Here is a 12,714-nt window from a genome sequence, read left to right as displayed (position 1 = left end):
TCTGCAAATATGAAAGTATTCTGCTGGTTTCTCAATGAGCAACGCCCAAGGACTTGTTTAGGGCCTTTCATCATTCTGCCAAAAGCCATGATAAAATCTGTTGACTGCAAAAAAATCCTGAATTCACAGTCAAAATATAGTCCTTCATAACATAAATTTCTGTTTTTATTCCAATTATCTTCATTTAGCACTGCCAGGATACCCACATTACCTGAAATAACAGTTGCATTTTTTGGACAAAGTTTATTTTCTCACCAGTTTTATTCCTTGGGCATGTGCCACTTTTTAATTCCTATGCAAAAATTTAAATCATCTAATCATTTATTAATTAACTTTTAGAATTTCATCCATTTAGGTCTGTTTTAAAAGATGTTCATTCTTTAAATATAATATAGTTCCAAGAGTAGTTAAAATAAGTTTGAATATCTTGCCTTTGCAAATCTAAATCTTCTGTGTGCTTCCCAGGTAGTTTATGTTGGTATACCACTTTGGCATTATCAATTTAAGTTATATTTAGAGCTCCTCAGTCTCATAATATCCTTCCCTATGTCCCTTAACAAAATTCTGACTAAGAATATTAAATATACATTATTTAATCCTCAAACAAGACATCATCATCTATATTACAAATTAACTCCTTGATTGGGAAAAATTACGTGAGACTATTTTATTCTTCTCACCTGGAAATGAAACTGCTCATCTTGCCATGAATTTTACACTGTGCCCTCAGATCACCTGATACCTGTGAAAACAGTTCTAATTACTAGAAACACAAAATATGCGAAAGATCTCAGGGACAGTCTGGTTCAGTACAGTTATTTTAAAGGAAAATTGTGTTTCTCAGAGAGGTTTAACAGGTTGCTCAGGGTTATTTAGCATGTCGGTGACAAAGGGAAACCAGAACCCAAATTTCCTGACTCTAGCCCATTTCCCCCAAGGATATCACACCACTTTCTTCTTCAATTAACTGATTAACTAAGGTTTTTTTCATGAACAGTCTTGAAAAGCCAACATGTCAGCAATTAAGAGTATGGTGAAATTGAAATAAAATCCATATGGAAATTTCAAACTCCATTGTTTAGATCTAGACAGATACCCTAAAGAACAACATTAATTCCTTGTCACCTTTAACAACAACAAAAATAATACCTGTTTTATGCTTTGTCCTTCATATTCCCAGATTAAGGGAGGTGTGAAATTGATGGTGTTATTCCTTTTTTATTTCTTTGTAGTCATCATATAAAATTAGAAACCCTTAAAATCTTTCTCTGATTGAGCTCCCCTGAAGCATCCTTTTCAAGTTTCATTCTTTGTGTTTCACATTTCATTCCTCATTTTGCTTCTAACCCTAAAACTGTCAACTTCTTTCCCTGTCCTTTCCTCAATGTTAAATTAACAAATGATGGGCAAATAGGTTCATAAATAGGTGAAATTATAAAGTACGCTCTTTCACTCTGAAGCCAAGATAATTTTTCAGTTATATACATTTAATGCTTTCTAGTAATTGGCAAAGAATCTGAATGGTGCTGCATTCAAATGAATAAATGACTCCATAGCATGAAATAGTATGGTAATAATATGGGATATGCTACCCAGAAAAAGTAAGGATTTTATATCTACCAAATTATGGACAAAATCTAACATCTGTTACAATCATGAAAGGTGTGGGTTAAAAGTTTTTTTCAAAATTAACTAAAATATATAATGTCTTAGAAATGCCTAAATATTGTTGAATATTACCAATTAACTTTTTTTAAATTTAGCTTGGCATTTTCTCATTTCCTTTGACAACATGTTTTGTACCGAGCTTTTTAGTGCCCTTCTTTTAAAAACTCAAGGTAGTTTACCACCTACTCTGCACTGTCAATGCACTCTCATTTCTCACTCTGTAGTTCTCATTTCTTATTCTTATGGTGTGGTTCTTTGTTTTTTTTTTTTTTCAAGTACCAGATTTGCAAGTAGAAAGATCTGTGTTTCTAAATGCATGGGACATGATACACTTGGAGAAGTGACTACCAAAGAGGCATGTTTATAACTGAATTCAGACACAGGGGAATGAAAGACATTGTCAATTTTTATTTATTTTTTTATTCTTTGAGTAATTATCTCTGTGGTCACCTTCTATGAACCATAATTTCCTTATCCATACAACAAAGATCCAAAATACATCATCTAAGTTCTAATTATAGGAAATTAAAGCAGCTACTTCAATGTCTATCCTATAACATAGCATAGTAACATAATCAGGTAATGTTATTCAGCAATTTGTTAGCCCACAACACTCCCCTTTCCTGTTGCCTGCCCGAACTCAGGTTTGGAATAAACATACATTTCCAAAAAGCCCATAAAGATGTAATCATGAGATTTTCTACTCTGGTAGCAGGTCGACAGATAATGAAGTCATAGTCTCTTTAATTGTAAAACCACAACACATGATATGACAGGCACTGTGATAAGCCTAACGCCTTACTATATTCAGGATTTGGAAGATGAAATTAAGTAGATATTCTTTGAAATTGCTGTTCCCCAATACATTTAAATACACCTTCTCCCCCTTGGATTTTCAACTATTTCCTTCATATGGCTATAAAAGAATAAAAACTGACAGATTTGTATTATGCTACAACATATAGTAGAACTCTGAGTAAGTAAGACATCATATATTAGTATTATAACATTATATAATCATAAAATTGGGTTATAGACTCTTGTGATGACGTATTTATTTTACTTACCAACACTGGCATCCAGTCATAGGAACTGAACTGTAAAGTAAAAGTGACCCTCCTTGACAAGAGTAAACACAAGGAATTAAGACGAAAGATGCCTTAGTTTATGTAATGTTTGGATTCCAGTGATTATTATTCTGAAAATAATCTTGAGTGGCACATTTGACGTTTTCTGAAGCCAAAGTAAGTTTGATGTTAGATATTGAAATGCAATGATTGAGAGAGTTCATTGTCAGGTTTTCTATTTTTTCTAGAAAATTTTAGAGTTATTCAAGAAATCTTAAGAATCAGTTCTCTTAGATGTGATTCTAAGGCTACCTGTCTTCTTATTTGTGAATACAGATGATTTTAAAACAAAGAGGAAAGGGAGAAGATGGAAAAACTTACGAAAAAAATAGTATTATCTGGTTAAAGAATCTTAAATAGCCATTAGTTATAAATCCTAAAAATTAACGTCATTAATAATGAATAATCAAGAAGATTTAAAACTTGGTATATTAGTCTGCTCAGGCTGCCATAAGAAAATACTACAAACTGGTGGTTTAAACAATAAAATTTATTTTCTCTCAGAAGTCTGTGATCAGGATGCCAGTAAATTCAGTTTCTGGTGAGGGCTGTCTTCTTGGCTTGCAGATGGCTGCCTTCTCAAAATGTCCTCAACATGGTCTTTCCACTGTGCATGTGTATATATAGAGAAAAAGCTCTTGCATCTCTTTGTCTTCTTTTTTTTTTTTTTTTTTTTGAGACGGAGTCTCGCTCTGTCGCCCAGGCTGGAGTGCAGTGGCACGATCTCGGCTCACTGCAAGCTCCGCCTCCCGGGTTCACGCCATTCTCCTGCCTCAGCCTCCCGAGTAGCTGGGACTACAGGCGCCCGCTACCACGCCCGGCTAATTTTTTGTATTTTTAGTAGAGACGGGGTTTCACCGTGTTAGCCAGGATGGTCTCGATCTCCTGACCTCGTGATCCGCCCGCCTCGGCCTCCCAAAGTGCTGCTCTTTGTCTTCTTATAAGGACATCAGTCCTATGAGATTAGGGTTCTACCCTTGTGACCTTATTTAACCTTAATGATTTTTTTTAAGGGCTCTTCTCCAAATACGTTGGGATTGGGCAGCACAAAATGAATTTGGGGAAGGGAAGAACACGATTCCATTCATAACATGTATCTTTTGGAATACCCCCAAAATATTGGCTTTTCTACTTCAGGTCAAGCATTTCATGATAATTGTTATAAAATGTTTACTAATTGTGATAATCACAGAAAGTTAATTTTTAATTCACAAGACCATCTCAGTATTATCATATTATAAGAATTTTATGCTTTGCCCCCAAGAAAAACAATGCAGAAAGATTGTAACACAATATATTTAGCATATTTATGTTGAAAGGAGAATGTGAATGGGTCTGCTCCCTTCTTTAAGTAAGCTCAGTCCCCCTTCTTGGGACTATGCCTTTCATAATTCTTGCTACGTTATAAAGAAGGATTACAAGATGGGCTCACATATAGGGAAATTTCTCCTTATAATAATGGTAACAGTACAGGAATAGCAGAGTAGCTAGTATCAGACTAAACCTCTTGTAGACATTAATTACAAACTCTTGTAAACATTAATTACAAATTACAAGAAAAAAATACAAACACATACACAACTATTTGAAAGCATTATAAAATGATCAAAAGCAGGTAGGAACTGAAAAGGAATTCAACTCTTGAAAGGAGAAACGGCACTCAATAAGATCCATATTTATATATATTTTCCCCTAAGGCCATAGAGCAATTAGAACACAAACAGAAAGCCACATTTTTATTGGCTTAAGTATCAGAGGACAGAATTTGAGGATGCTGATAATTGGAAACTTTGTAAATAAATCCACAAAGGAGGGTGCCATAGAGAGGCAAGACTTAAAATCTTGATATAGACTAGTTTTAAACTTTTGGATAACCCCAAACTGCACATGTCTAGGGCAGAGTCCAAGGAAGACAGGGAACGGCAATGGAAGTAAGGTTTTAAAAGCTGGGCAAGTAATCTAGCTGTTGACTACATCATAGAAAATGGATTTTGAAGTTTAACTTTAGTCCAGTTGAAGGGGCTTAGTAAATGCCTCGAGCTTTCCATTGAAATACCAGAACAATCATAATTTTTGATTCTAATAATAGTCTACTTTCTATCATTGAATTATATATCCTAAGACTAAGAGCAAAGCTAAACACTAAGATTATGGGTAAAACCTTCCCTAACAAAGTATAAAATGCAAGCCTTGACAAGTTCAAGGTGATCAGCTAGTAACTTCACTGACTGGGCACATAAAAATTAACACTTCTCAGAGAGATATTTAAAAATCCTAAGTCTCTATAATGCATCATTCACAGTGTGCACTCAAAAAGTACTAGACATGCCAAGAAATAAAAGAGTAAAACCCCTATTCAAAAGAAAAAAGAATCAATAGAAAAAGGTCTCCAATTGGCCTGGATGTTAAAATTAGCAGGCAAGGACTTTAAAAGAAATAATCATAAAGATGTTCATGACTTAAAGAAAAGGATTATCAAAATGAGTGAACAGATGGGCAAATCTCAGCAGAGAAACAAAATTATATAAAAGAACCAAATAACAATTCTATGACTTTATTAGTCATCAGGGAAGTGCAAATTACAAACACCATGAAATACCATTTCACACCCTTAGAATAGCTACAATTTAAAAGGTAGCAACACCAAGTGTTGGCAAGGATGTAGAGCAACCAGAACTTTCATACACGGCTAGGAAGAGTAAAAAAGATAAAGCCACTTTGGAAACAAGTTTTGTCACTTTCTTATAAAGTAAAATATATACCTATCCTAGGAAATCCCAACTTTTCCACTCTTAGATATTTATTAAAAAACAAATAAAAAAATATGTCTACATAAATATTGCAAACAAATGTTAACAGAAACAACTCAAATGTTCATTAGCGGGTTATTAGATAATTAATTATGATCTGTTTATACAATGGAATACTACCCAGCAATAGAAAAAGAATGTACTATTATACAACAACATGAATAAATATGAAAGACATCATGTTGTTTGAAAGAAGCCAGATGCAAAGGAGCACACTGTATCCTTCCTTTTATAAGAAGTTCAACAATAAACAAAATATCCCTATACTGACACAATCAGAATATTGATTGCATATGGGGAGCAGAGATTGATTGGAAGGGACATAGTGTAACCTCCTGGAATGATTAAAAAATGTTCTATATCTTGTTTAAATTGATGCTTACATGGCTGTATTCATCTATTGAAACTCACCACCATGTATGTATATTTTATCTGAATTTTAAAAATGGTATCAGAAAGCATCTGCAGACTATATATTCACTTATAAAATTTAAATTCCTGAAGACCATTAGAGAATATGAACCCACTGCATTTAATTACTCTCCATGAAAAATCATTGCTGTATATAGTTGTCCATGTGATCAAACATAAATACTAAATATAGAAAGCAATGTGAATACAAAAAAAGAAAAAGGAACAAGAAATTTTCCAGTCTTACAAAATAGTGCTTACTTGGGAAAGGGAAACTACAGATATTTTCTGTTCCTTGTTAAAATTCTTTTTGCCTTCAGAAATTTACATTATAAGTGGGAGAGAATTCAAATTGTTCCACTCCTTTGGAATGGGTTCTGGGTCCAGCTAAGCAGAGTAAATTATTATAACATAGCATTTTAAATTGCATATTCATTGTATCCTAAAATCTTATAAGTTAAAAAAATAGTGACAAATTGAAAGTTAACTCACTTATATTCTGATTTTTAAAAAGTTGTCACTAGAGGTACATGATTTTTAAAAAAGACAATAAGGAGTGTGTGATTCTAAAGCAACTGTTCTCAACCCTAGCTATACAATAGAATCACCTGGCCACATTATAAAATACTATTTACCAGGACTTGAGCCTTATTAATTAAAGCAGAATCTTTATGAGGAAAGACTTTTTTTCTATTTTATTTACTGTTACATCCCCAGAGCTTAAAACAGTGCCTGGCACATAGTAGGCTCAATGAATATTTGATGAATGAATGAATGAATGAATGAATGAATGAATGATAAACAAGTTTTTGAAAGCCAAGGAATCATTTTGGTCTTATACATAATGGCAGAATTCCTTTAGGTGATGTAGAATGAAGGAATGCCAAGCTGTTATTTTATTAAAATGTTTGATAATTTGTGTTAACTTTAGCTGAAAATTAAGTTTTTATTGAAATTTCCTATGGATCAGGTTTCATGCTAGAGTAAGGTTTATAAATGTGAAAAGACGTGAACGTGCATTTGGGAAATTCCCAGTCTATTATGGATTAGTGGCAAAGAGAAAGTCTAGCATATAAGCATTCACCCATTAATCCATTGATTAGCACTTATTTATTAAGTGCTTATTATGTGCCATACACATATGTGCTAGGATACACTGTGGCAAACAAGACAAATATAATACCTGTCCTCAAGCAGCTTACTGTTTAGTAAAGGAGAAAGATAATAAATAAGGAAACAAATAATAAAATTTTTGATGAATTTGATGACCTAAATGAGTACAATGGTGTTATGTATTAACAGAATTTTGGTCAGGTGGAGAGCACTATTTTATATTGGATGGTCAGAAAATACCTCTCTAGGGAGGAAACATTTGTGTGGAGACATTCACGATGAAAAGAAGCCAACAAAGCAAAGTGCTAAGGGGAGAGAGTTTCTAGCAGAAGAAAAAATATGTTCAAAATAGTTGAAGTAGAAAAGAACTTGGCATGTTCAAGGACCTGAGAGAATCCAATTGCTGGAACATAAATAGAAAGTAGAACAAGTTGAAAGTGGAATAAAAGGTGGGGTTATAAAATGCACAGCCTGGTAGGCCATGGTAAACAGTTTGAATTTTATTAAGTACAACATGAATCTATTAAATAGTTTTAGGCAAAGAAATGGCATGTTGCAATTTGTGTACTTAAAAGATTATTTCTTTTTCCATATGTAGAATAGACTCAAGTGTGGACAAAAGTGGAGGCTTGTAGACTAGTTAGGAAGCCTTTGCAGAAGTCCAGGTGAGAGATGATAGAGGCAATACATTGCTGCAATCACTGTGGCAAAGGGGAAAAGTGAGCAGCTCAGAATATATTTGGAAGGAATTGTTAGGACTTGGTGAGGGATTGAGTGGATGAAAGAGAACGAAGAATCAACATGAACCCCAGAGTTCTGGCTTATACAAATGGAAGGATTGAGGAAATATCTGCATAGATGAGAAAAAATATGTCAACTCCACCATTTAAAATTTGGATAGAAAAGGAACCAACTAGGAGTAACCAGAGAGGGAGGAAAAAAAAAACCCTAGAGCATGAGGAATCTCAGAATCTAAAAATCTCCCTTAAAAACTAGAGTATTTCAAGAAGGAAGAAGTGATCAAATACGCTCAGTGGTGCTAAGCAGCTAAGATAAGGGCAGAAAAGAATCCCCTGAATATGGCAAAATGAAGATTATCGGTAATCCTAACTGAAGCAATTTCAGTAGAGTGAGTGAAATAAAATTCAGATAGGAGTAGGCTTAAAAGTGAATGGGAAGCAAGGCAGTTGAAGAAGCTGAAGTAGACAACTCTTTCAAGTTTAGTTTTGAAGGGAAGCAGAAAAGTGAAATGAGAGCTGGAGGAAACTATTACTGAAGAGGAGATACCAGAGAATATTTGTGCATTGATGGGAATGCTCTAGTATAGACAAAAAGATCGATGATTCCGGGAAAGAGGGACCGTCAATTAAGAAGTCAAAGAGAGGAGCATAGTATATTAGGATGTTCTCAAAAGAATGTGACACCGACTCACACCAGTCAGAATGGCTACTATTCCCCCCACCCCACCCCACCCTGAGACGGAGTCTTGCTCTGTCGCCCAGGCTGGAGTGCAGTGGCATGATCTCGGCTCACGGCAACCTCCGCCTCCTGGGTTCAAGCGATTCTCTTGCCTCAGCCTCCCAAGTAGCGGGATTATAGATGCCTGCCACCACGCCTTGCTAATTTTTGTATTTTTAGTAGAGTTGCAAATAACAGAGGTATACATAGGTGAACTTAACAACAAAAAATAAATAAACAATAAACTTAAGGGGGCTGTTCAATAAAAGGGTACAGGTATACTATAGAATCCAAGAGTGGGAATACAATGACAACCTGAGAAGAGGCTAGAATATTGCCAGTCCTTTGTCAATAATTTATCCTTTTCTTTCCCAGTCTGTTTCCTTCTTCTCCATTCCACATATTATAATGTGGCAACTACATAACTCATAATTATAGTCTTTATAGGGGGAGAATAATTGACTCCATTCAAGTGTTCGCTCCTGTTTCAATCAACTATGGCTGAAGAGTGAGGAGACATTTGGAATAAATATGGCTTCTGGGGGCCCATTCCTATGGATCAGCAGCTGGCTTCTGGAGGCCCATTCCTGTGAATCGTCGATCTCATAGAAGATAATATTGTTAGAAGGTAGGTAGGCAGTTCTCAAACTGTGAAGCTATTGGAAGGTGTTTTTGTTTTTGTTTTTGTTTTAAGCATGGCATGGAAGGAACATGCTCAAATCCATCATTTAAAAAAGAGAACTCCAGCAGCAATATGAATAATAGATTGGAAGGGAGATTAACCAGATTCAAAGAGGTAAGCCCAATGAGAAAACCATTAAGAAAAGTTACAAGCAAAAAATAAGAGACTATTTTTTGTATTGGGAGAGTAATAGTAGCAATGGAAAGGCATGGGCAGATACTGAACACATTTCAGAGGTTGAATGGACCATATTTGAATATAAGTAGTGAGGAAAGGTGTAAAGGAAATGAATACTTCAAGATTCCTAGCTTGGGCAATAGGATAGATAGGATTGCTGAGAATTGAGACAAGGAAAACAAGAAAAGAAAATACGAGATTGGAGAGGGCAATCTTGAGCCTGAAAAGTTACAGTACATTCAATGTCAGATCCAAAGCTTCAGAATGTTGAGTAATCAGTATTTGAGAGATACATAGGTAATAGTTGGTGCTTCAGGATCACATAAGATCATTCAGAAAATTCATGTAGAGTGAGAAAAGAGAGTAGTTTGCTCAGAAAATTCCAGCAGAAGAGATGGTACTAAAAGAAAGATAAAGAGCAAACAGAGACACATGGGAAGAATAAGAGCTGCATCTTAGAAGCCAAGAAGGAGTTTTAAGAAGAAGGAAATGATAAACAATCAAATTCTGCAGAAAAGAAAAGTAGGATGAGAGCTGAAAGAGGCTAACATATTTGACAATCACATCATTGCTGACCTTTCTCGAAGCAATTTCCGCAGAGTTGCGGGGGTGAAAACCAGGTTGCAGTGGGCTGAAATTAGACCGAGAGACAAGGAAGTGGAAGCAATGCCTATGACCTACTCTTTCCAAAACGGTGTCAACTGAAGTATATACTGCTAGATAATGGTTTATTCTGTTAAAATTTATTTTATCACTATATTGTTTGGACTAAAACTAGATCATTAAAAAGCTCGAATTGAACCATGGACTCCTGACTTCCACATTTCTAGAAGTCATCTTGCCTGCAGGCAAATTAATTCTATAGCCTTCTGTAGACATAGCTCCAATAATATATCTCATCCTTATTTTCAGTGGTATTCATGGTATTTATTTTCAGTGGTATTCATGGTATTGTCTCCCACCATCTTTCCCTTTTACTCCATCTCAGCTCTCAGACACATGACATTTTTGCCAATCTCATTACAACTTGTGCTCATTTTCTCAAGTTTCCTATCAACTGGGGTAATTGCTTCCTACAAAACCCACTCTCCTATTAACTGGCTCATTACCTTGAGTTAAAAGTTCAGAAACTTCTTCAAAGTGAAATCACTGTAGAGTCCTGAAAAGAAACTACTTTTGAAGTTACTGACACATGTGTATGCCAAGACAATTCTTGGGTTGTATTCAATGATTTACAGACCCAACCCATTCCTTGTTAAGTTTCTATCAGCATCAATTTTCCTCCTTCACTATAATGGTACATTTATTACTCTCCAAGTCATAATAGTAGACATATAGAGTAGAAGAAGACAAAATCAGTTAATGTGTTGATCACAGCGCTATGTTGATAGAGCTAATGTGGTTCAGAAAAGAAATACTATTAAAGTTCCTCTAGTTCTCTCTCCAGCTGAAGACAATTAGCTTAATAACCATTTCTACTCATTATTTCCATGCTAACTAGTTTTATCTTTGCATTTTTTAGGCTTACCTCATTGATGCTGAACATCCTAAAAAGCTTCTGCTGCTTTGAGTCACTGAAAAAGACCAAGAAACATGAATTTAAAAAAAAATTTCAAATGTTATAAAATAAATAATATGAACTCATTATACCTACAATGAATAATTTAAATTCTTCTTTGGTAGTCCAGGTAAATAACTTCTCAAATAGATTTTTTTAAGCATCTGTATAAGTTCAAGATGTACATCACTTCATGTAGAATAACATCTCCTAAAAAGAACTGAAATGCCTCAGTATACAACCAGCTGACCTGGCTATCAAACACTTATTTAGCACATATTACATGATGGACACTTTGATGTAGATACGGACCTTGGGTTGTGTCCTCAAGGATCATACAGTGGGTTGAGGAAATAGGATATGCTATCCATAGGAAAGTAAATAATAATATGACAGCTTATTTTCAATGAGAAGTGAATAGTACAAAGAATAGGAGTTGCCAGATTTCAAAAGGAAAGAGCTATCACACAGAGGCGGAACAATTAGAAATTTTTCATGAAGGAAGTGTTCTTTGTGCTGGACCTTTGAGAAAGTATAGAATGTAGATTAGCAAAAAGGCATGGAAAAGGCATGATAGGTAGGAGAGGCAAGTTAGGCAAAGGTCCATTAGAATTGCTCAAGATATAATAGACCAACTTGGCCTGAAAAAGGCCTGGAAGTATCCTCTTTTGTGCTCTGTGAGAAGTTTGCCACCATGTAAAAAGTCTAACTACCCTAAGGCAACCATGCTCTGAGAAGCCCAACCTATCCAGGTGGAGAGGTCCTGTAGAGAATTGAGGCCACTGGCCCTGAGCTCCCAGTTGAAATAGACAATATCAACATGTCAGCAGGGTGAATGAGACCATCTTGGAAGTGGGTCCTCCAAGAGTAGTTGAGCCATCCTGCCTAAATTTCAGCATTTTGAGCAAATAAATGATTTATACCATTTTAAATCACTATATTTTTGAGTGAATCACTGACTTTTTTCTCAATTAAGCATAGGTTTAGAAACTATGAAAACCCTAGAAGAAAACCTAGGCAATGCCATTCAGGACATAGGCACGGACAAAGATTTCATGACGAAGACGCCAAAAACAACTGCAACAAAAGCAAAAATTGACAGATGGGATCTCATTAAACTAAAGAGCTTCCATACAGCAAAAGAAGCTACCATGAGAGTGAACAGACAACCTATAGAAAGGGAGAAAAATTTTGCAATCTGTTCATCTGACAAAGGTCTAATATCCAGCATCTACAAGGAACTTAAATAAATTTACAAGAAAAAAACAAACCCATTAGAAAATGGGCAAAGGACATGAAAAGATACTTCTCAAAAGACATACATGTGGCCAACAATCATACAAAAAAAACCTCAACATCACTGATGATTAGAAAAATGCTAATCAAAACCACAACGAGATACCATCTCATACCTGTCAGAATGGCTATTAATAAAAAGTTAAAAAACAACAGATGCTGGTGAGGTTGTTGAGAAAAAGGAATACTGTTATACTGTTGGTGGGAATGTAAATTAGTTCAACCATTGTGGGAGACAGTGTGGCATTTCCTCAAAGACCTAGAGGCAGAAATACCATTTGACTCAGCAATCACGTTACTGGATATATACCCAAAGGAATATAAATCATTCTATTATAAAGATACATGCATGCGCATGTTCACTGCAGCATTATTCACAATAGCAAAGACATGGAATCAACCCAAATGCCCATC

At 35.2% G+C, this 12,714-nt stretch overlaps 1 long non-coding RNA gene across 1 annotated transcript in view; it reads left to right on the top strand.

Annotated features, from left to right (window-relative positions):
* The window catches only part of HRAT17 (heart tissue-associated transcript 17), a 41,009-nt gene extending 29,907 nt beyond the window's left edge, over window positions 1-11,102 (top strand). The window contains exons 5-6 of the long non-coding RNA NR_110162.1: window positions 9,035-9,215; window positions 10,969-11,102. This is a non-coding gene — a long non-coding RNA (heart tissue-associated transcript 17). The remainder of the gene's footprint in view (window positions 1-9,034; window positions 9,216-10,968) is intronic.
* The last annotated feature ends 1,612 nt before the right edge of the window (window positions 11,103-12,714 follow it).

This window comes from Homo sapiens, chromosome 7 (genome assembly GCF_000001405.40).
Source record: "Homo sapiens chromosome 7, GRCh38.p14 Primary Assembly".
Classification (NCBI taxonomy): domain Eukaryota; kingdom Metazoa; phylum Chordata; class Mammalia; order Primates; family Hominidae; genus Homo; species Homo sapiens.
The sequence above is the reverse complement of the archived record's forward strand: the minus strand, read 5'-3'. Positions and strand labels throughout refer to the sequence as shown.